This window comes from Homo sapiens, chromosome 5 (assembly GCF_000001405.40).
Source record: "Homo sapiens chromosome 5, GRCh38.p14 Primary Assembly".
NCBI classification, from domain to species: domain Eukaryota; kingdom Metazoa; phylum Chordata; class Mammalia; order Primates; family Hominidae; genus Homo; species Homo sapiens.
In genome coordinates this window covers 139,513,994-139,537,352 of record NC_000005.10, presented here as the reverse complement: position 1 = coordinate 139,537,352, position 23,359 = coordinate 139,513,994, and the positions used below count along the sequence as shown (strand labels likewise).

Genomic DNA, 23,359 nt, shown 5'->3' with positions numbered 1-23,359 from the left:
ATGATATTTAAGAAGCATAACAATCAATCACAATGTATGAACCCTGTTTACATTCCGCTTCAAAAAACTATTAAAAATGAAGTTTATAAGACAATTGGAAATTTGAACAATGACTAGATATTTGAGCATATTAAGGGTATATTACTTTTTGTTGTTTTTTTTTTTTTTGTGAGACAGAGTCTCGCTCTGTCTCCCAGGCTGGAGTGCAGTGGCATGATCTCAGCTCACTGCAAGCACCGCCTCCCGGGTTCATGCCATTCTCCTGCCTCAGCCTCCCGAGTAGCTGGGACTACAGGCATCCGCCACCATGCCCGGCTAATTTTCTTTTTGTATTTTTAGTAGAAACGGGGTTTCACCATGTTAGCCAGGATGGTCTCGATCTCCTGACCTCGTGTTCCGCCCGCCTTGGCCTCCCAAAGTGCTGGGATTACAGGCGTGAGTCACCTCGTCCAGCCTGGGTTTACTACTTTTTAAAGCATGATAATAATACTGTGTATGGTTATGTTTACAGATGAAATGATATCTTGGATTTACTTCAAAATAATATAAAAGGTAAGCAAGTGGGCCGGGTGCGGTGGCTCACACCTGTAATCCCAGCACTTTGGGAAGCTGAGGTGGGTGGATCACATGAGTTCAGGAGTTGGAGACCAGCCTGGCCAACAGGGTGAAACACAGCCTCTACTAAAAATACAAAAATTGCCGGGCAAGGTGGCTCACACCTGTAATCCTAGCACTTTGGGAAGCTGAGGGGGGTGAATTGCCTGAGCTCAGGAGTTCCAGACCATCCGGGACAACAGGGCGTCTCTACTAAAATACAAAAAATTAGCCAGGTTTGGTCACGTGTGCCTGTATTCCCAGCTACTCAGGAGGCTGAGGCAGGAGAATTGCTTGAACCTGGGAGGCAGAGGTTGCAGTGAGCCAAGATTATGCCACTGCACTCCAGCCTGGGCTACAGAGTGAGACTCTGTCTCTAAAAAATAAATAAATACACTTTGGGAGGCGGAGGCGGGCGGATCACTCAAGGTCGGGAGTTCGAGACCAGCCTGACCAATGTGGAGAAACCCTGTCTATACTAAAAATACAAAATTAGCTGGGCATGGTGGCACATGCCTGTAATCCCAGCTACTCCGGAGGCTGAGGCAGGAGAACTGCTGGAACCTGGGAGGTGGAGGTTGTGGTAAGCTGAGATCACGCCATTGCACTCTAGCCTGGGCAACAACAGCGAAACTCAGTCTCAAATAAATAAATAAATAAATAAAATAATAAATAAATACATAAATAAAAATACAAAACTTAGCCGGGTGTGGTGGTGGGTGCCTGTAATTCCAGATACTTGGGAGGCTGAGGCAGGAGGATCACTGGAACCTGGCAGGCAGAGGTTGCAGTGAGCCGAGATCACGCCACTGCACTCCAGTCTGGGCAACAGAGCGAGACTCCATCTCAAAAAAAAGAAAAGAAAAAAATGTAAACAAGTGGAAGTATTAATGAAACAAGACTTCTCACAGTTAGTAATTGTTGAAGCTGGATAAGGAGTGCATGAGAGCTCACTGTAATACATTTCCTCTACCTTTGTATATGTTGCAGATGTTCCATAATAATAAAAATGTATATCATAAATATCTTTTGTGTCAATACATGGAAACCTGCCTCATGCTCTTTGATAGGGGCATAGCCTTCCATATTTATTTAACTAATTCTCTATTAGAGAACTTTTGAATTTTTTTTTGAGATAGTGTCACTCTGTCACCCAGGCTGGAGTGCAGTCGTGTGATCTCGGCTCACTGCAACCTCTGCCTCCTGGGTTCAAGCAATTCTCCCGCCTCAGCCTCCAAAGTAGCTGGGATTACAGGCGTCTGCCACTGCATCCGGCTGATTTTTGTTTTTTTGTTTTTTGTTTTTTTTTGAGACGGAGTCTCGCTCCCAGGCTGGAGTGCAATGGCGCGATCTCGGCTCACTGCAACCTCTGCCTCCCAGGTTCAAGCAATTCTCCTGCCTCAGCCTCCCATGTAGCTGGGACTACAGGTGCCCGCCACCATGCAAGTCTCTTTTTTTTTTTTTTTTTGTATTTTTAGTAGAGACGGGATTTCACCATCTTGGCCGGGCTGGTCTTGAACTCCTGACCTCGTGACCCACCTGCCTCTGCCTCCCAAAGTGCTGGGATTACAGGCGTGAGCCACCACACCCTGACTTTATTTATTTATTTATTTATTTGAGATAAAGTCTCACTTTGTCACCCAGGCTGGAGCGCCGTGGCATGAGATCTTGGTTCACTGAAACCTCTGCCTCCCAGGTTCAAGCGATTCTCCCCACCTCAGCCTCCTGAGTAGCTGGGACTACAGGCATGTACCACCAAACCTGGCTAATTTTTCTATTTTTAGCAGAGACAAGGTTTTGCCATGTTGCCCAGGCTGGTCTTGAACTCCTGAGCTCAAGCAATCCTCTAGCCTTGGCCTCCCAAACTGCTGGGATTACAGGTGTGAGCCACCGCACCCAGCCTTGAATTATTTTCAGATATTCAATATTCTAAACAATACTATAGGAAATATTATTGTACAAATGTTTGTGCCCAATTAACTGTTTCCTTAGAATAAATTTCTTTTTTTTATGCTTTTTTTTGAGACAGAGTTTCACTCTTGTTGCCCAGGCTGGAGTGCAATGGCATGATCTCTGCTCACCACAACCTCAGCCTCACAGGTTCAAGCGATTCTCCTGCCTCAGCCTCCTGAGTAGCTGGGATTACAGACATGTGCCACCATGCCTGGCTAATTTTTTTTTTTTTTTTTTCCTGAGACAGTGTCTCACTCTGTCACCCAGGTTGGAGTGCAGTGGCGCGATCTCGGCTCACTGCAAGCTCCGACTCCGGGGTTCACGCCATTCTCCTGCCTCAGCCTCCTGAGTAGCTGGGACTACAGGCGCCCGCCACGACGCCCGGCTAATGGTTTGTATTTTTAGTAGAGAAGAGGTTTCACCGTGTTAGCCAGGATGGTCTCGATCTCCTGACCTCGTGATCAGCCTGCCTCAGGCTTCCAAAGTGCTGGGATTACAGGCGTGAGCCACTGCCCCTGGCTAATTTTGCATTTTTAGTAGAGACCGGTTTTCTCCATGTTGGTCAGGCTGGTCTCGAACTCCTGACCTCAGGTGATCTGCCCGCCTGGGCCTCCCAAAATGCTGGGATTACAGGTGTGAGACACTGTGCCTGGCCTGTAATAAATTTCCAGAAGTGAAGATGCCAGGTCAAAGAATGTGCAGGTTAAAAAAAAAAATGTTTTTTTTGCCAGGCGCGGTGGCTCACGCCTGTAATCCCAGCACTTTGAGAGGCTGAGGCGGGTGGGTCACAAGGTCAAGAGTTCAAGACCAGCCTGGCCAAAATGGTGAAACCGTGTCTCTACTAAATATACAAAAATTAGCCAGGCTTGGTGGCGGGCGCCTGTAATCCCAGCTACTCGGGAGGCTGAGGCAGGAGAATCGCTTGAACCCGGGAGGCGGAGGTTGCTGTGAGCCAATATCCTGCCACTGCACTCCAGCCTGGGTGACAGAGTGAGACTCCGTCTCAAAAAAAAAAAAAAGATGTTTTTTAATTTATGCTGAGATTGTTCTCTAGTTAAATTCTTGGAATTACTTGTTTTCTGACGCTCCCAGTAATACACTGGTCCTTATCAATTTATCAATCCTTTTCTTTTCTTTTCTTTTCTTTTTTTTTTGAGACGGAGTTTAGCTCTTGTTGCCCAGGCTAGAGTGCAATGGCGCGATCTTGGGCTCACCGCAACCTCCTCCTCCCTGGTTCAAGCGATTCTCCTGCCTCAGCCTCCCGAGTAGCTGGGATTAACGGCGCCAGACACCACGCCCAGCTAATTTTTGTATTTTTAGTAGACAGGAACTTGCCATGTTGGCCAGGCTGGTCTTGAACTCCTGACCTCAGGTGATACACCTGCCTTGGCCTCCCAAAGTGTTGGGGATTACAGGCGTGAGCCACCACGCCCGGCCCCTTTTCTTTTCCTTTCAACCTCTTTTTTGAGGTATAATTTACATGCCATCAATTTCATTCATTTTAGGTGTACAATTCAATGATTTTTTTTTCAACACAGAGGTTGTAGTGAGCTGAGATTGCACCACTGCACTCAGTCTGGGGGACAGAGTGAGACTCCATCTCTCACACACCAAAAAAAGTGTGTATGTGTATGTATATCCCCTATTGAAGGATATTTAAGTTGAGGAGTTGAGGTCCATATATTTTTTTTTTTTTTTGAGATGGAGTCTTGCTCTGTCACCCAGGCTGGAGTCCAGTGGCGCGATCTCAGCTTACTGCAACCTCCGCCTCCCGGGTTCAAGTGATTCTCCAGCCTCAGCCTCCCGAGTAGCTGGGATAACAGGCAAGTGCCACCACGCCCAGCTAATTTTTGTATTTTTTAGTAGAGACGGGGTTTCGCCATGTTGGCCAGGCTGGTCTCAAACTCCTGATCTCAGGTGATCCACCCGCCTTGGCCTTCCAAAGTGCTAGGATTACTGGAGTGAGCCACCGTGCCTGGCTGAGGTTCATTTTTTAGCACATTAAAAATAGTAGAATAGGGCAAGGCATGGAGGTTCATGCCTGTAATCCCAGCACTTTGGGAGGCCGAGGCAGGCTGATCCGTTGAGGTCAGGAGTTCGAGACCAATGTGGCCAACATGGTGAAACCTTGTCTCTACTAGATATACAAAAACTAGGCCAAGCGCGGTGGCTCACGCCTGTAATCCCAGCATTTTGGGAGGCCAAGGCGGGCGGATCACGAGGTCAGGAGATTGATACCATCCTGGCTAATATGGTGAAACTCCGTCTCCACTAAAAATACAAAAAATTAGCCGGGTGTGATGTCGGGCACCTGTAGTCCCAGCTACTCGGGAGGCTGAGGCAAGAGAATGGCGTGAACCGAGGAGGCGGAGCTTGCAGTGAGCCGAGATCGTGCCACTGCCCTCCAGCCTGGGCAACAGAATGAGACTCCATCTCAGAAAAAAAAAAAAAATACGAAAACTAGCCGGGAGTTGTTGCAGGCGCCTGTAATCTCAGCTACTGGGGAGGCTGAGGCAGTAGAATTGCTTGAACCCGGGAGGTGGAGGTCGATTGCAGTGAGCCGAGATCGTGCCACTGTACTTCAGCCTGGGCAACAGAGCAAGACTCTGTCCCCCCCAAAAAAAAAAAAAAAGTAGAATAAATTCCTAGATGTAATATTGCTATGTCAAAGGATATGCAAACTGAAATTTTCGATAGATATTAACAGATTATTTGCTAAGGAAGTTGTACTCATTTACATCCCCCACCAACAGTGTTTCCTCACACCCCCAAAACATCCCTCATCATAAATGAGGTCATGCATAATTAAAAAAAAAACACAACCAGGATCTTTCTCTGTTGCCCAGGGTGGAGTGCAGCTGCATGACCATGGCTCATTGCAGCTTCGACCCCCTGGGTTCAAGCAAACCTCCCACCCTAGCCTCCCGAGTAGCTGGGATTACAGGTGCATTCCACTATACCCACCTGGTTTTTTGTTTTTGTTTTTGTTTTTGTTTTTGTATTTTTTGTAGAGACAAGGTCCCACACTGTTGCCCAGGCTGTTCTAAAACTCCTGAGCTCAAGTGATCCTCCCACTTCGGCCTCCCAAAGTGCTGGGATTACAGGCATGTGCCACAGTGTCCAGCCAGGCATTATTTTCTTTTCTTTTCTTTCTTTCTTTTTCTTTCTTTTTTTTTTTTTGGATAGGGTCTCACTCTGTCACCCAAGCTGGAGTGCAGGGGTATGTGATGCAATCTCAGCTTGTAGCAGGACAAGCCACAGACAAAACCTCTCAGACACCGAGTTGTAGAAGGGCTTTATTCAGCTGGGAGCATCGGCAAGCTACTGCCTTAAAATCCGATCTCCCCGAGTGCACAATTTCTGTCCCTTTTAAGGGCTCACAACACTAAAGATTTCACATGAAAGGGTTGTGATTGATTTGAGCAGGCAGGCGGTACGTGACAGGGGCTGCATGCACCGGTGGTCAGAGAGAAACAGAACAGGGCAGGGAATTTCACAATGTTCTTCTATACAATGGCTGGAATCTATGAATAACATCAGTTTCTAAGTTATGGGTTGATTTTTAACTACTGGGTTTAGGCCAGGCAGGCCCAGGCCTGCTTTCAGGCCTGGTGCCGGGCTGCCTGTCTTTGATTTTACTTCTTTGTTGTTTTTTCTTAAAACAGGTACTGAGTATAAAATAATATAAAACAATATGAGAGGGTCTCTCTCTTCCCTCATTTCCCCCCCTTTGAGACTCTCACTTTTTATTAGTGGGAGTTCTCACTTTTGTTTTTGCTACTTATGTCTTTTTGTGCAATAGATTGATAGTGATTTACATAGTATGCTTGTGCTGAAGCATTTTTGTGAACTAAGGTGGCAACGAAGTTTTTTATCATTTGGAGAAATACAGGTATAAGACAAGGGAGCAGTAAGCAGGTTCCTATTACTATTATTATTTTTATTACAAGAGTTTTAAATTTTCCTATTGCTGGGAACCAATTTTCAAACATGGCTCCCGGACTGAGTCCATGCCACACTTGCACAGGTACATGTGCCAGTTTTGTTATATCTTTAACTATATTCTCAACTACTTGCCCCTGATCATCTATGTGTAGACAATAATTAGTACGGTTAAATTTTCTACAAACTCCTCCTTCAGCTGCTACCAAGTTGTCAAGAACTATTCTATTTTGATAGATAGCATTTCTCATCAGAGTCTCTTGCTGGGCAAGAACGGTCAAGGCTTGACCGGTTTTATTAGTAATAATTTCTAAAACAGCTTGCAACTGTATGATTCAGTTGAGCATGTAGATAGGGGTTCGATATCCTCATGAGCCTTCTTGTGCCTAAGTGGCGGGTCTATAGTATTGTATGATTCTTTCAGAGGGCCATTCATTATTTTTCTAATCACTTATGGCTATGCTTCATTTTTTGCAGGAAGCATAGACTGGGAAGCCTAGAAGTTCACCTGTTTTTATGGGCAGTAAGAAGAAAGATGGCTTAATGGTGCCAATTATACAGCTACCTGTCCTGATCAGGCAGCTTAGCATAAGCTCTGTGTCCACATATCCAGTATAACCTGGTGGGGGCCGTCCAGTCCTGGTGGAATTCTGGGTGGGCCCAAACAGTCTGCAACTTTGGAAATTTGCTGAATGGATTCCTTTCTGTGTGATTGGAACTCTACCATGTAACTGTTTTTGTGGTACCATTATACAGCTTTTGCCTAAGACAACTAAGCCACCTTACAGGATGAGTGAATCCTTTTCCTTCTCTAGCTATGCAATACTGTCCAATAATTGAGACTTTTAGAACCCAAAAATTGTCAGGGTGGTTCTTTTGGGCTGGGAATTCATCAGGAACTGGGTCTGTAGGAACTAATTTTCGGGCTTCCCATGGCCATTGATCTCTTGTTACAGTTCCTCCACAGACATAACATGAGGTGACTTGTAGAGACTGGGCTACATGTTCGGCTAATGGAAAAAACAAATTTTTAGTTTTTCCTGGAATCTCAGGTACTGGCACATTTAGTTCATCATGAAATACTGAAATACTGGTAGAAAATACTGGTAGAAGGTCTGAAATACTGGTTCTGGAGAGCGTTTTTGAACCTCTCCTTTTATTAGGATGCTTACACTAAGATCCAGCCCTTTTCCATCAATGCCTAATGTTACATTTTTTTTTATTTTACTTGGGTCTGAGGGGTTTGTGATTATCAATTTTAAAAGGATGCAGCTCCCACTTGTGCAGGAGGGGCTGACTTTTCATTTTTGGAGCCAAACAGGATCTTTTTTTATTTTCTTTTTAAGTAGCTCAAATGACACAAGACCAGTATTGACACATCTCGCATAAATATGATTTTTGACAGATGTACTTATTTTCTGCTGTGTAACTTTTTTTCCAATCTAGAGAACTGCATCTTATCCCATGCTGTTTACTATTAATAGCAGCACAGGCATCAAATTTTAAGATTACATTTTTGGGGACCCCTTTTTCTTCTGTTCTAGCTATTACTTTACTTGTGTCACCTAGAAAAGGACCAGTCCTTAGTCTTACTTCAAAGACTGTGATCTTGGGAGGTTCAGAGGGGTCATAGCACACATTGGGCTGGTCACTGCCTGGATTACCTACTTTATACTGAGTGTTATTATACAAACAGGTTCCTTTTGGAGTTCTTAGGCATTCATAATAACTATAAAATAATATGACTGTAGCAATCTTTTGTCCTACCTCAGTGACCTGATGTATATACTGGGAACAGTTTTCAGTCTGAGGAAGGTCAGTTGAAGTCCTTATTGTACAAGTCCAAATTTTGAGGAAAATGAGTCCCGCAATGAGTTTCCTCATGCTTCGGCCATGTGTGTACAAGTCAGCTTCCGGGTGTGACTGGAGCAGGGCTTGTCATCTTCTTCAGAGTCACTTTGCAGGGGTTGGCGAAGCTTCTCCTATCCACGTACAGCTCCTAGTCTACTGATGTTTAAGCGTGGTCTCAGTGGTTGGGCCTACTAGAATAAACTGAGTCCAGTACTTCTACACAGTTATGTTTAACTGGGCTCTCTGATACGGGGAGCAAGGTGGCAGGGTTTAGGGTGTTGCAAACTTCAGTGGTTATGCGGGGATTTTCACAGAGCAAGCTTTGGTATCTAGTTAGTCTAGCATTCATTAGCTAATGGTTTCCTTTGTTATTTATTAAAATCACCATAGCATGGGGGGACTTTATGTTTAGGTTTTGTCTAAGAGTTAGCTTATTTGCTTCTTGTGCTAACAGGGCCCTTGCTGCCAGGACCCTTGGACATGGGGGCCAGCCTTTGGAAACCCCGTCTAGTTGTTTTGAGAGATAGGCCACTGGCCTTGGTCAGGGCCCTACATTCTGGGTTAAAACTCCAACTGCCATTTTTTCTCTTTCTGACACAGAGTGTAAAGAGTTTTGTCAGGTCAGGTAGCCTCAGGGCTGGGGCCGACATGAGTTTTTCTTTTTTCTTTTTTTTTTTGGTTGATGAAATGCCAGGGTGAAAGGGATAGCCAAATGGACTAAAGCACAAGTGCCACACTAGTTATTTGGCAGAGTGCCCAGTAAAGGTCCACCACAATACCACCACACATCCACTCGGGGATGAACAAGGGCTGACTGATTGATAAGCTCTTGAAAATTCTTAAGCTCACTGCATCCCTTCAGGTCTCCAAGGAATACTAAGTTTCCTCTCTGCCGTGAGAGACACGAAGTGAACTTAGTGTTGGGAGACAGAAGCTGCATGGCCCTTGGGGGCTGACCCGCAGAGACTTTGGGATATAGCAGAGAGAGCTTGGCATGACTTATTACTCCAGGCTGTAGAATCCTGGAAAAGAGCTACCATGCAGTCCACGCCTGGTCGACTAGAGGACCACCTTAGTGGAAGGGGGACAATCAGGGCCTCTGGCCTGCCATGTGCACAAGCATAACAATTGCTTTTGTTTAATGTGCAGATGGAATATTTGATCCATTTCAACCAGGAATTTGCATCTGTCTTAATAGTACACAGGAGGCCTTATTACTTTTAAATTATACAACATTTTTTGCTTAAAATTTTTTTAATAAAATTTTTTCTTTTATGACTTTTGCAGACAATTTTTTAAACATGTTTTAACTTTTTGACTTATTACAAACATTCTTTTCTTTAAACAACCAGTTAATTTATTTCAGGACAAGAATTTATCATATAACTCTTTTTATATAAATTCTGCCTCTCCCCTTTATTTTTGAAGATAACCATTGTTTTTTTAAAGCAAACTTTCTTTATGTGTTTTGACTAGACTGTCTAAGGCCACAAGATTAGAAGTTACCATAATACATGTTACACTGTTAACTTTTAGCAAACTTCACTTTTGTTGAAAACCTTATAAGTTTGTGATTTCAATTATCCTTTGCTATTAATAAGACCTTGTTCAGTCTAAATTAACTTAAAATTGGTATAGATGGCCTTTTTTTCTCTCTGCTGGTCTTTCCTTGCCTCTGCCAGCTGCTTATGCTGCTGTTCTCTTAACTACTGTGGGGAGAGGGGGAAGGGGGTCTAAAACCAGCTGTAACTGTCTATGTATAGAAACTGGTCCGGGTGCTTTGGCTTACAGGTTACCTTGTGCCATACCTTTGAAACAAGGGACCTCTCCAGGCTTTCTTCTGATAGCCAACCCACCTCTAATGCTAGCCAGTCTATTTCACACAAAGTTCTAAGTTTTTCTGGTGTCATAGTAACACCGTAATCTCCCTTAAATCTTGAAATTTTTTTTTAACATAGTTCCCAGTGGGGTGGGCTTACTTTGCGCCTGACCCATATTTTTTTCTTCCGAGACAAAATACCATGCTCACACCACACATACTCACCACAAGACAAAGAATGGGTAAAGAGGGTACACACACACTTTTACCGTTTATACCAAACCAAAATCATGAAATTCAAAATCTGAATACCAAAAAATTTAAGCCAAGTGAAAACCAAAACTAAAGTATCCAGCAATTCAAGTCAAGTCAAAACCAGAACAAAAGTGCCAATGCAGGCACACCGTGGGTGATCAGGCCACACTTCCACTCAGATGGAGTGGGGCAAGTTCCAAAGACTAGTCTTACCAAGTCAAGCCAAGTCAAAACCAGAACAAAAGTGCCAATGCAGGCACACCGTGGGTGATCAGGCCACGCTTCCACTCAGATGGAGTGGGGCAAGTTCCAAAGACTAGTCTTACCAAGTTTCAGATGTCCGGACTCCCAAGTGCCAGTTCCTTCCCGGTGTTCAGCCACTGTGTTAATCCTCCGCGGGGGCCTGCTACACGCTGCTCTGGCGAGGCATTCCACCAGGGCAATTTCCTACCCGGGAGCGCTCTTTGGATCGCGTCACTCAGGCTGGCCGGAGTCCCCCACAGGGATGCTCCACAGGGCAGGCTTAAGCCGCCTAAGGGGCTGCCTCGGCCGTCTGTCAGTCACCTTGCTTCCCGGTCAGGGAACCAAGAAATGTAGCAGGACGAGCCATAGATAAAACCTCTCAGACACCAAGTTGTAGAAGGAAGGGCTTTATTCAGCTGGGGTCATCGGCAAGCTACTGCCTTAAAATCCCAGCTCCCTAAGTGCACAATTTCTGTCCCTTTTAAGGGCTCACAACACTAAAGATTTCACATGAAAGGGTCGTGATTGATTTGAGCAGGCAGGCGGTACGTGACAGGGGCTGCATGCACCGGTGGTCAGAGAGAAGCAGAACAGGGCAGGGAATTTCACAATGTTCTTCTATACAATGGCTGGAATCTATGAATAACATCAGTTTCTAAGTTATGAGTTGATTTTTAACTACTGGGTTTAGGCCAGGCAGGCCCAGGCCTGGTTTCGGCCTGGCGCTGGGCTGCCTGTCTTTGGTTTTACTTCCTTATTGTTTTTTCTTAAAACAGGTACTGAGTATAAAACAATATAAAACAATATGAGAGTGTCTCTCTCTTCCCTCAAGCTCACTGCAACCTCCCCTCTGGGTTCAAGCAATTCTTCTGCCTCAGCCTCCCGGGGATCTGGGACTACTGGCGCATGCTACCACATCTGGATGCTTTTTTTGTATTTTTAGTACAGATGGGGTTTCACCATGTTGGCCAGGCTGGTCTTGAATTCCTGACCTCAGACGATCTGCCCACCTCGGCCTGCCAAACTGCTGGGATTATAGGCGTAAGCCAACCACACCTGGCCCCAGGCATAATTTTCATAGGTTTATTGGCCACTTGTATTTCTTGTTCAGAGACTTGCATGCCTGTATCTTTCTGAACTTTGGTTTCTTCATTTGTAAAAATGGGGATGTAGACTCCTGGTAATCCTAAGCATGAGAATTAGAAGGTCAAGAATGAATTTCAAAGCTTGTGCAGTTCCTGCCTGCTTTTCTCCTACCCCCTGTGAGTGATAGTCTCATGCATTTTGGCTTCCTTTTTGAAGAGGTCTTCTGATCCTGGAGGGAGGACACTAGGAGCTTTTGCTCTGAGTGGTCTTTGGGCCCTTTTGGTAACTCATTGGAAGCCCTCAGCCAATGGTAGCAGTGACAACCAGGATCCTCATTTGCCTGTATTCCTAGGTCACAGCTTTATAGGGATGGCCAGAGATTCTGCTAATTAAAAACAAGAATCATTGAGAGGTATTGTGGGAGGCTCTAAATCGGACCCACCCACCCCCTCTCTGAAGATGTGTGTTTAAGAGGCAGGGTTGCCTACTGGGTGGAGGCCCCAGCACTGCCACTTATTTTGCTGAGTAATATTGGGCAAGTGGCTTCCCCATCTCTGAGCCGAGTGCTTTTATCTGTAAAATGGAAATAATAATGGCACTTACCCAATGGGATTGTTGTAGGCACTGATGAGCAAATGTATGAAGAGCACTAGGCACCTAACTAGGTAACTATTATTCTTCTTTAACAAAAGGTTTTATAACTTCTCTGCAACTAGCTCACTTAACATTGCTGTCAGTCAGTAAATTCCCTCTGGCAGTCTAATTGCAATCCCTCCTACTGCCATTTCAGGTCATTCACTTGAGTTCTGTAGTGAGGGGAGGTCATTTTTAAGGTCCTCCTATAGCTTTTTCTCTGTTCTCCCTGGTTCCAGGAATGGTCTGTCAAACTCTCTGGGGAGGGGAGGGCAGCACAAGGAGGGTACTCTTGGGGCATCTTCCATTCTTTATTTGCCCTGAACCTATCGCTGGAGACTCAGATACTACCTGCTGACAGTGGGGGTTGGGGAGAGGGGCAACAGGCGGCAGGGGTGGGATGGGGTTGGGGGTGGGGTGGACGAAAGGCCCACCTGGCCCAGCTTTAGTGTGTGGCTTTCCCTATTCCACTGGGGATTTTCACACGTCTCCTGCCAAAGGCCCAGGGGGCCACTGAGCCTTTCTAGAGAAGGAATGATTTGGCCAAGCTTGGAAGTGGGCCCCTGTCTAGGGCCTAATAATAATCAGAAAGGCCTTCCTGGCTAGGCTCCCAGGATCCCTGGAGCCTCCTAAGGGGCTTTCACATTCAGGATCTTCAGGCCTCGTTTGATCACTCCAGCCTGAGCTGGGGGTCTAGGCTGGGCCTCCACAGGCAGCCAAGCAATGCATAACAATGGCCTCCTGGGACTCAGCGCTCACCACACTCAGGGCCACATCTTAAGTACTTTGTAATAATAATAGCTTGCATTTACTGAGTGTTTATTAGGTACCAAACTCCTCACAACTATTCTGGGAGGAAGATACTGTTACAGACAAGGAAAAGAAAGCTGAAGGTTCTCAATTGCTCAAAATGATAGCACCACAAAATGCCCGTGCTGGGGCTCCAAAACCAGTGCTCCCCATCTTCCCATTCTCTTCCTCCCGTTGGCACTTTGGCCCCCCGTCCTTCTGTATCAATAGTTTTCTCCAGGCCCCTCCCTCACCTCATCTCTGCCCTCCCGCCACACAACTGGGATTTTCAATACCCCCCACCATCAGTCATTGTCCCTCCAATTACTGAAGACACCCCTGAGGTCACAAAGGGATTAGATCCCCAGTCCCTCCCAGTCCAGCCACCCTGCCATCCTTTCAGGTGCCGCTGCTAGCCACCCCACCTAGAGATCAAAGGTTACTAGTGCTGAGAAAGGGCTCCGTCCACGCCTTCCTCATCCCAGGGTCAGCTGCTGGCCCTGGCCAGAATGTGGCTCTTCGAGAAGGTTGGGAAATGGCCTAGACTGAAGCTTTAACCCTCTTTTGTCAATTTCTCCCCAGGGTGGCCAGGTCTGGTCGACCTAGGCAACCCAACCAGCGGGGCTGAGGGTGGAACAAAAAGCTCTGGCTCCTCCACTTGCTAGCTGCATGGCCTTGGCCAAGTCACTCGTCTTCTTTGTGCTTCAGTTTCCTTAACAATAAATTAGGACTAAACATGACACCTTCTCCCTCAGGCTTTGGTGATGTAGGATACAATAAATTCCTCTTCAAAGGTTTTAGCCTGTTAACCTCCTTTAAAATTCAAGAGGTGGAAAATTGTTAAGTACAATGAGTTCGTCTTCAAAGAACCAATATGTCAGTGTGTTCAACTTCCCTGTTCTTTTTTTTTTTTTTTTTTTTTTTGAGATGGAGTCTCACTCTTGTTGCCCAGGCTGGAGTGCAGCGGCGTGATCTCGGCTCCCTGCAACCTCCGCCTCCTGGTTTCAAGCGATTCTCCCTCCTCAGCCTCCCAAGTAGCTGAGATTACAATTTTTTGCATTTTTGGTACAGATGGGGTTTCACCATGTTGGCCAGGCTGGTCTCGAACTCCTGACCTCAGGTGAGCCACCTCCCTCAGCCTCCCAAAGTGCTGGGATTACAAGCATAAGCCACCACACCTGGCCTTTTTTTTTTTTTTTTTTTTTAAATAGAATTTCACTCTTGTTGCACAGACTGGAGTGTAATGGCGCGATCTCAGCTCACTGCAACCTCTGCCTCCCAGGTTCAAGCAATTCTCCTGCCTCAGCCTTCTGAGCAGCTAGGACTACAGGTGTGTGCCACCACGCCCAGCTAATTTTTTGTACTGTTTTAGTAGATATGGGGTTTTGCCATGTTGACAAGGCTAGTCTCAAGCTCCTGACCTCAGGTGATCCACTCGCCTTGGCCTTCCAAAGTGCTGGGATTACAGGCGTGAGCCACTGTGCCCAGCCTAACTTTTGTATTTTTAGTAGAGACAGGGTTTCACTATGTTGGCCAGGCTGGTCTCGAACTCCTGACCTCAAATGATCCGCCCGCCTCGGCCTCCCAAAGTGCTGGGATTACAGGTGTGAGCCACCGTGCCCAGCCAGATGCTTTCTTATTCTTATGCAAATGTACCTCCAAGACAAGTCCTCCAGGGACCCCTTTCCACCAGATGGGCCCCCTTGGTATTCCCTGGCACCCTAGGGGCCTGAGCTACCTCCTTTGGAGGTGCCAGCTCCTCCCCCAGTCTTTCTTTCTCCTATTGTCATCCCAGCCATTTCCCCTGTGCTCCCCTCTCCATTGTCTTCCGTTCAGGTGATGGACCCAGGCTATCTGTGAGAGGGCAGGGTGCCCATCTAGGTTCAAGGGGTCTATGGAAGATAACTACAGACATTTAATAGGGATAGTTCACATTTGTTGGGGAAATTGCAGAAGGCTTGTAAAATAAGCTTTGCTTCTTCAATAGCATCTTGGGTAAATAGCATCAGGTAAATATTTATTGATCACTCCCTACAGGACATGCATGGCACTAAGCACTCTTGTAGCATCATCTGATGCCAGTCTAGGCTTCCAACCACTGCACTACATTGCCTACTCCTAGTTCACTTAACCCCGTTACAGCACGTCTCATGCCTTTTCCCCATGGTTTACTTGTCTCCCCCCATTAGACTGTGAGTCCTAAGAGAGAAAGGATGACGGGTTGGGTGCGGTGGCTCACGCCTGTAATCCCAGCACTTTGGGAGGCTGAGGCAGGTGGATCACCTGAGGTCAGGAGTTCGTGACCAACCCCGTCTCTACTAAAAACACAAAAATTAGCCCGGTGTGGTGGCGAGTGCCTGTAATTCCAGCTACTCGGGAGGCTGAGTCAGGAGAACTGCTTGAACCCGGAAGGTGGAGCTTGCGGTGAGCCGAGATCACGCCACTGCACTCTAGCCTGGGTGACAGAGAGAGACTCCATCTAAAAAAATAATAATTAAAAAAAAAAGAGAGAGAGAGAGAAAGGATGGCATTACTGCGGTACTGTATCTGCCCCGTATATCTGTCATCGGTTAGCCCAAGGTCTGGCACACATGTTGCTAAACACTAGGATTGAGATGGTTGGGAAGGGGTTTTCTATCCTGTGTCCCTCCCCTCTCTGAGGTTGGCCTAGTTGAGCGGAGGCTTTGGATGACCTGACTGGGAGACTGAAGGTCTTTGGGCATAGGCATGTGCATATTAGGTTACTGATAGGGTTCTGCTGGGATCTACATTTAGTCCTCACAGAGGCTGCCAGCTCAAACCCTCCATTAGCCTGCATTGCCCCTATCTGACTGGCCTCCTCACGTATACCTGCCTTTGATTTTCAGGGCACCTGATGCCAGTGGGCAGGTGATTAAGAGGCACCCATTCCCACAGCTGAAAATACTGCCCAAATGAGTGTGTGCAGTGCCTGCCCCCAAGAACCTATAAACCAGTTCTTTTTTTTTTTTTTTTTTCCTTTGGGCTGGCGGGGGAATGGAGTTTTGCTCTTGTTGCCCAGGCTAGAACACAATGGCGCGATCTCGGCTCACTGCAACCTCTGCCTCCCGGGTTCAAGCGATTCTCCTGCCTCAGCCTCCAGGGTAGCTAGAATTAAAGGCACCTCGCCCGGCTAATTTTTTTTTTTTTTTTTTGAGACAGAGTCTGGCTCTGTCGCCCAGGCTGGAGTGCAGTGACGCAATCTTGGTTCACTGCAAGCTCTGCTTCCTGGGTTCACGCCATTCTCCTGCCTCAGCCTCCGGAGTAGCTGGGACTACAGGTGCCTGCCACCACGCCTGGCTAATTTTCTGTATTTTTAGTAGAGACAGGGTTTCACCGTGTTAGCCAGGATGGTGTCGATCTCCTGACCTTGTGACCTGCCCACCTTGGCCTCCCAAGGCTAATTTTGTATTTTTAGTAGAGATGGGGTTTCTCCTTGTTGGTCAGGCTGGTCTTGAACTTCCGACCTCAGATGATCACTACAACCTCTGCCTCCCAGGTTCAAGCAATTCTTGTGCCTCATCCTCCTGAGTAGCTGGGATTACAGGTGTGAGCCACCACGCCTGGCTAATTTTTGTATTTTTAGTAGAGATGGGGTTTTGCCATGTTGGCCAGGCTGGTGCTGAACTCCTGACCTCAAGTGATCCGCCCTCCTCGGCCTCCCAAAGTGCTGGGATTAAAGGTGTGAGCCACCACATCTGGTCAAGAACTTATAAGTCAGTTCTATCTGGATGCCTGACCTGGTTCCTGGGAGGTGGCCTCCTCGGGGCTTGGACACCTTAGAGAGGTGGGGGAAGTTCTCTTTTTTATTTTTTTTATTTTTTATTTTTATTTCTATTTTTTTTGAGACGGAGTCTCGCTCTGTCGCCCAGGCTGGAGTGTGGTGGCACAATCTCAGCTCACTGCAAGCTCCGCCTCCCGGGTTCATGCCATTCTCCTGTCTCAGCCTCCTGAGTAGCTGGGACTACAGGTGCCCGCCACCACGCCCAGCTAATTTTTTTGCATTTTTAGTAGAGACGGGATTTCACCTTGTCAGCCAGGATGGTCTCGTTCTCCTGACCTCGTGATTCACCCACCTCAGCCTCCCAAAGTGCTGGGATTACCGGCGTGAGCCACTGCACCCGGACTCTTTTTATTTTTACTTAAAAATAAACAGTGAGTCTCACTCTGTCACCCAGGCTGGAGTGCAGTGGTGTGATCATATCTCAGTGCAGCCTCGACCTCCTGGGCTCAAGCGATTCTCCCACCTCAGCCTCCCAAGTAGCTGAAATTATAGGCGCACACCACTACTATTTTTGTAGAGACAGCCCAGACTGTTATGTTGCCCAGACTGGCCTCAAACTCTTGGGCTCAAGTGATCCTCCTACCTCAGCTCAAAGTGCTGGGATTACAGGTATGAGCCACCACACCTTTCTGGGAGCTCCCTTCCTTTTCTCTTTCCTCATCCTCTTCCCATCCAATATCCCAGCTCACTCACCTCCCCAGCCATCTACCACCAACACACCCTACCCAGAAGAAGGACTATTATTGTCCTTAAAAGTCAGCATAGAGTGCTCAAGAATATCTATAATAATGACATAGTGTCCCTTAGTGTTTCCATTTTGTTACTGGTAAAAGAAGCAGCCGGGTGCAGTGGCTCACACCTGTAATCCCAGCACTTTGGGAGGCCGAGGTGGGCAGATCACGACGTCAGGAGATCGAGACCACCCTGGCCAACATGATGAAACCCCATCTCCACTAAAAATACAAAAATTAGCTGGGCATAGTGGTGGACACCTGTAGTCCCAGCTACTCGGGAGGCTGAGGCAGGAGAATTGCTTGAACCCAGGAGGTGGAGGTTGCAGTGAGCTGAGATCACGCCTTTGCACTCAAGCCTGGACGACAGAGCGAGACTCCATCTCAAAAAAAAAAAAAAAAAAAAGAAGCAGCAGCAGCAAAGATGTTCTGGGCATCTTAAAACTTTGGGATCATTATGGGGGAGGTGGTGCAGGTGGTATGTGTGATAGGAATGCTTTTATGTTGGGTCTCAAAATGTGAGGAGTGTTTAGGCAGGTAGAAAAGGTGGCAAAGGAGTGTTCAGGCCAAAGCCTGTGATAAAGCACACAAAGGACGTGGGAGATGACAAGAAACGAGACTGAAAGGGTTGTGCATGCCAAGCTAAACGTGTGGACTGATCCTGAGGGCAGTCAGAAGCCACTGAAGAGTTTGGGGCCAGTGAGTACATTCCAGCAACAGAGAGAAGTGTTAAAATAGCTGATGTTGGCCGGGGACAGTGGCTCATGCCTGTAATCCCAGTGCTTTGGGAAGCCGAGGTGGGAGGATCGCTTGAGTCCAGTAGTTCAAGACCATTTAGAGAGACCCCAACTCTACAAAAAAAATGAACAAAAGTAGCCAGTCGTGGTGGCATGCAACTGTGGTCCCAGCTACTCCAGAGGCTGAGGAGGAAGAATGGCTTGAGCCCAGGCAATTGAGGCTCAAGTGGGCCAAGATCATGCCACTGCACTCCAGCCTGGGCTCCAACCAGTTTCAAGAAAACAAACAAACAAACAAAAAAACGCTGATGCTCACTGAGCCTCTGCTTAGTACTGAAAAAGATGATTTCGTTTAGTCCTTCCAACACTCTTCCAGGGTTGTTAGTATTATTTCCATTGCATTGTAAGGGAAACTGGGGTATGAGATTGTTTTCTCAAGGTCACCGCTAGGAGTTGGTCCTGGATCCTCTTCCTGTCATCATCCTGTTGGTCTGAGAGAGGGTAGGGGTCAGGGAAGGGCTCTGAGACGATGAGAAGACAGGACGGACAACCAGACGCCATGCCCGTCTGGTTGAGGGGGAGGATGGCAGCGCTCTCGAGGGTGAAGCACAGGTTTCTGACTCGGGCTCCTGGGAGGAGCGGGCAAAGGCGTGGAGATGTGAGCCACAGGCGCCAGCCAGTGGTCCCAGGTCCGAGGCAGGACCTGCCGCCCGAGAGGCGTGGGAGCCGCACGGAGCAGCCGCCGCCTGCCTCTCTTGTCCTACTCTGGCGCGAGTCCATCCGGGCGGCGCGGCTGCTGAGAGCAGCGCCCTCTAGCGGAGGCCGGGCCTTGGCCCCGGGCCGGATGAAGTCACCGGCCGGAGGCATGCCGGGAACTGCGCCGCCGCGGCAGTCTTCACCCGCTGGGGGTGGTCTGGGCGCAGCTGCGGCCTGGCCTGTAGGGTCTCTGTCCAAACTGCGAGCCAGTGCACGCGCGAGTGTAGGGCCTCCTGACACATCACCGGGAGCTCTGCGGTACCTTCTCCTGCCTCCCGCGGCCACGGTGGTCTCAGACCCCTTAGATCCCACATTGGATCCCTTCCACCTGTCCTCACACTCCTCCGGCTTCTCTTACCACATTTTGGCCCTTCGACACCCTCGTGCTCCCCGCCTCATGCCTCATATCTCCGGGCCAGTATTTCATCGGGTCACCTCCACATCCCACTCGCTTCTCTCTGTCCCAACTGCCTGTGTCTTCATTCATGCCAACATCGACTCCAGGCTGGATGGCCACACCAGTTACCACCAGTCCGGCTCTTCAACCCATTTTTTGCCCTGCAGCTGGAGGAAGGAAATTTATTTATTTATTTTATTTATTTATTTATTTATTTTTTTGAGACGGAGTCTCGCTCTGTCGCCCAGGCTGGAGTGCAGTAGCACTGTCTCGGCTCACTGCAACATCTGCCTCCCGGGTTCAAGCGATTCTGAGGAAGGGTATTTGTAAAGATAATGTTGTTCCTAGGATTGATGATCTTCAGCAGCCTTCCTTTCATATAAAGATCAAACTTCTCGGTCTGACCCACCAGCCTTTGAGGCCTGGACCCTGCACCCTCCAGCCCATCTTTCACAAAGCCTCCCTCTGGGTGGATCCACAGTCATCTGCATCAACATCACTGGTGGAGCTTGTTTAATACACAGATTCTGGGTCCCTGTGCCAGACCCATCAAATCAGAATCCCTGGGAGTGGCACGCATTTTCACCAGGTTTCCTTAGTTGAGACCCGCTTCTTGCAGCTCCGGAAAAATTACAGGGTTACTGTAATCCCAGCACTTTGGGAGGCGGAGGTGGGCGGATCTCTTGAGGTCAGGCGTTCGAGACCAGCCTGGCCAACATGGTGAAACCCCGTCTCTACTAAAAATACAAAAAATTAGTTCGGCATGGTGGCAGACGCCTGTAATCCCAGCTACTTTGGAGGCTGAGGCAGGAGAATCACTTGAATCCGGGAGGTGGAGGTTGCAGTGAGCCGAGATTGCGCCACTGCACTCCAGCCTGGGCGACGAGTGAGTGAGACTCTGTCTCAAAAACAAAACAAAACAAAAAAAAACAAAAAACCCCAAAAAGCCAAAAACAGGGTTATCTTCCCTCCTAGCCTGTACACAGCACAGGAGGTGTAGTTTCCCCCTACTCAGACACTACACCTCCTCTGCTTCCTTCACATTGAGATTACAGGTCATCCCTCTCCTGCTCTCCTGAAGCCCCAGGCTTACTCCTAAAACAGTGCTTAAGTGGAGTTTTGCCTGTCTGCTTCTTTGTCCCCCAGTCAGAATGTAAACTCCTTATGGCAAGGGTTGTGTCTGTCTTGTTCACAGAGCAATGTGCCTGGCACAGAGAAGGGGATCAATAAATATGTGTTAAGTATTGAATTAATGAATATCTGGACATATTCCAAGCTTGAGACAATTCTAGCACCTGGCATCTGGTGAGAGAGAAGAGGAACTAGAATAAGCCATCCCTGGGGTGGAGGAGAAGAAGTGATTGGGGAGTATCGGGCCCTTCCAGTCCCCCTCCAGCTGTCACCCACAGGGGTCTAGTTTAAGGATGTATCTCCTCCCAAGGATGCCAAGGAGAACCTGTGTGCATATATCAACTTTCTTCTCTGTGGTCTCTGTGGACCTCTTGACCCATCTCTACCGCTCTACTGGGGCGTTGAGTCCTACCTGTACTATCCAGGGCAGCTAGCAGTGGCATCTTTTTTTTTGTTTGTTTGTTTTTTTGAGATGGAGTTTCACTCTTGTTGCCCAGGCTGGAGTGCAATGGTGCGATCTCAGCTCACTGCAACCTCTGCCTCCCAGGTTCAAGTGATTCTCCTGCCTCAGCCACCCAAGCAACTGGGATTACAGGTGTGCGCCACCATGCCCGGGTAATTTTTTTTATTTTTAGTAGAGGCAAGGTTTCGTCATGTTGGCCAGGCTGGTCTCGAACTCCTGACCTCAGGTGATCCACCTGCCTCAGCCTCCCAAAGTGCTGGGATTACAGGTATGAGCCACTGCGCCCAGCTTCAGATGGCATCTTTGTACTCCAGCAGTACCTTGTCTCTCTGATTTTTGACCCATCAGAGAAATCCCAAGCCCAGTCTAGATAAATAAGCCATTACAGCCTCAAGAAAGCCAGGTTCAGACAGCAGGGCCAGTCCCTGCCCAGCCTGTAGGAAACCAGCCAGCTGATGCTGCCTAGAGCCAACACAGACCACGCTATACCCTGTGTTCTGGTCCTTCTCTGGATACAGAGTCAAGGAACTCTGACCCTGACCTCAAGTACGTTTCTCCCCATTTAATTGGGAGTTGTGGGAAGGATTTAAATTGAGCCTTAATTAGAATAAACATGATCATCGCAGCTGTGGTTCTTTTTTTTTAATTTTTTTGAGACAGAGTTTCGCTCCTGTTGCCCAGGTTCAAGCGATTCTCCTGCCTCAGCCTCCCGAGTAGCTGGGATTACAGGCATGTGCCACCATGCCCGGCTAATTTTGTATTTTTAGTAGAGACGGGGTTTCTCCATGTTGGTCAGACTTGTCTCGAACTCCCGACCTCAGGTGATCCACCCGCCTCAGCCTCCTATAGTGCTGGGATGGGATTACAGGCGTGAGCCACCGCGCCTGGCCGGTTCTTTCTTTCTTTCTTTTTCTTTTTTTTGAGACAGTCTTTTTTTTTTTTTTTTTTTTTTTGAGACGGAGTCTCGCTCTGTCGCCCAGGCCAGACTGCGGACTGCAGTGGCGCAATCTCGGCTCACTGCAACCTCTGCCTCCTGGGTTCAAGGAATTCTCCTGACTCAGCCTTTCGAGTAGCTGGGATTACAGGCGTGTGCCACCACACCTGAGCAATTTTTTGTATTTTTAGTAGAGACAGGGTTTCACCATGTTGGCCAGGCTGGTGTTGAACTCCCGACCTCAAGTGATCCGCCTGCCTCGGCCTCCCAAAGTGCTGGGATTACAGGTGTGAGCCACCGCGCCTGGCATTTTTTTTTTTTTTTTTGAGATGGAGTCTCACACTGTTGCCCAGGCTGGAGTACAGTGGCGTGATCTCAGCTCACTGCAACCTCTGCCTCCTGGGTTCAAGCTATTCTCCTGCCTCAGCTTCCTGAGTAGCTGGGATTACAGGCATGTGCCATCATGCCCAGCTGATCTTTCCGTATTTTGGTAGAGATGGGGTTTCACCACTTTGGCCAGGCTGGTTTTGAACTCCTGACCTCAGGTGATTCATCTGCCTCATCCTCCCAAAGTGCTGAGATTACAGGTTTGAACCACAGCGCCTGACTGCAGCTGTAGTTCTTACTGGATGCTGACCATGTGTCAAATACTGTTCTATACACTTGACACATAGTCTCTTTCACACTTCAAACAATCCCTCTGCAGATTAGGAAACTGAGGCCCAGAGAGGTTAAGCCAGCCCATACACTTGAAGGGATGGGTGTAAAGCAGAGTGATTGAGAGGAGGGAGCCTGGGTGAGTTGGGAGGGATGCACACTTGGTGCAGCCCACAGATCCTCGGCTTTTTGGCTGGAAGGAAAGGTGCATGCCGGGCGGAGTCAGTGGTGATGTTAACGCTCCCTGCCTGCCAGGCTAGGGTGCTTGTGCTTGCTCCTCCAGGCTCCACACCAACTGTTTTCTTCTGTGTTTCTATCTTAGGTGACCAGTGCTACGGCTTAATGAATTGGAGCTGGGAGTCCTGGCTCTGGAACCTTAGGCAGGCTCCTGCCCTCTCTTGGCCTCAGTGTCCTCTCTCTGAAAGGAGTGTTGCTCAGGCACTTCCAACCCAGCCCACGGGTCTCTCTATTCATAGCTTCAGAGCATGATTAAGCTCAGATGCAGAAGCAGCTTTAATTAACATCAGCCTTTTCCCAAAATAGCCCCTCCCCTGCCTCACAGGTGCCCTAGAACACAGGACAGGCA

General features: G+C 47.9%; 1 protein-coding gene across 1 annotated transcript in view, besides 3 other annotated features; it reads right to left on the bottom strand.

Annotated features, from left to right (window-relative positions):
- Nucleotides 1–11,113, bottom strand: part of UBE2D2 (ubiquitin conjugating enzyme E2 D2) — a 102,195-nt gene extending 91,082 nt beyond the window's left edge. The window contains exon 1 of the mRNA XM_047417691.1: nucleotides 10,741–11,113. The gene's annotated coding sequence lies outside the window, so the exon portion shown is untranslated. The remainder of the gene's footprint in view (nucleotides 1–10,740) is intronic.
- Nucleotides 11,217–11,456: an enhancer, noted in NCBI's record as "active region_23238". NCBI's record gives its function as "activates an Ori minimal core promoter by ATAC-STARR-seq in GM12878 lymphoblastoid cells {active_cell/tissue: GM12878}" and the evidence as "EXISTENCE:reporter gene assay evidence [ECO:0000049][PMID:35858748]".
- Nucleotides 12,528–13,073: an enhancer, noted in NCBI's record as "OCT4-NANOG-H3K27ac hESC enhancer chr5:138903865-138904410 (GRCh37/hg19 assembly coordinates)". NCBI's record gives its function as "activates a minimal SCP1, AML or CMV promoter by ChIP-STARR-seq in naive and primed H9 embryonic stem cells {active_cell/tissue: H9 hESC(naive and primed)}" and the evidence as "EXISTENCE:reporter gene assay evidence [ECO:0000049][PMID:30033119]".
- Nucleotides 13,074–13,621: an enhancer, noted in NCBI's record as "OCT4-NANOG-H3K27ac-H3K4me1 hESC enhancer chr5:138903317-138903864 (GRCh37/hg19 assembly coordinates)". NCBI's record gives its function as "activates a minimal SCP1, AML or CMV promoter by ChIP-STARR-seq in naive and primed H9 embryonic stem cells {active_cell/tissue: H9 hESC(naive and primed)}" and the evidence as "EXISTENCE:reporter gene assay evidence [ECO:0000049][PMID:30033119]".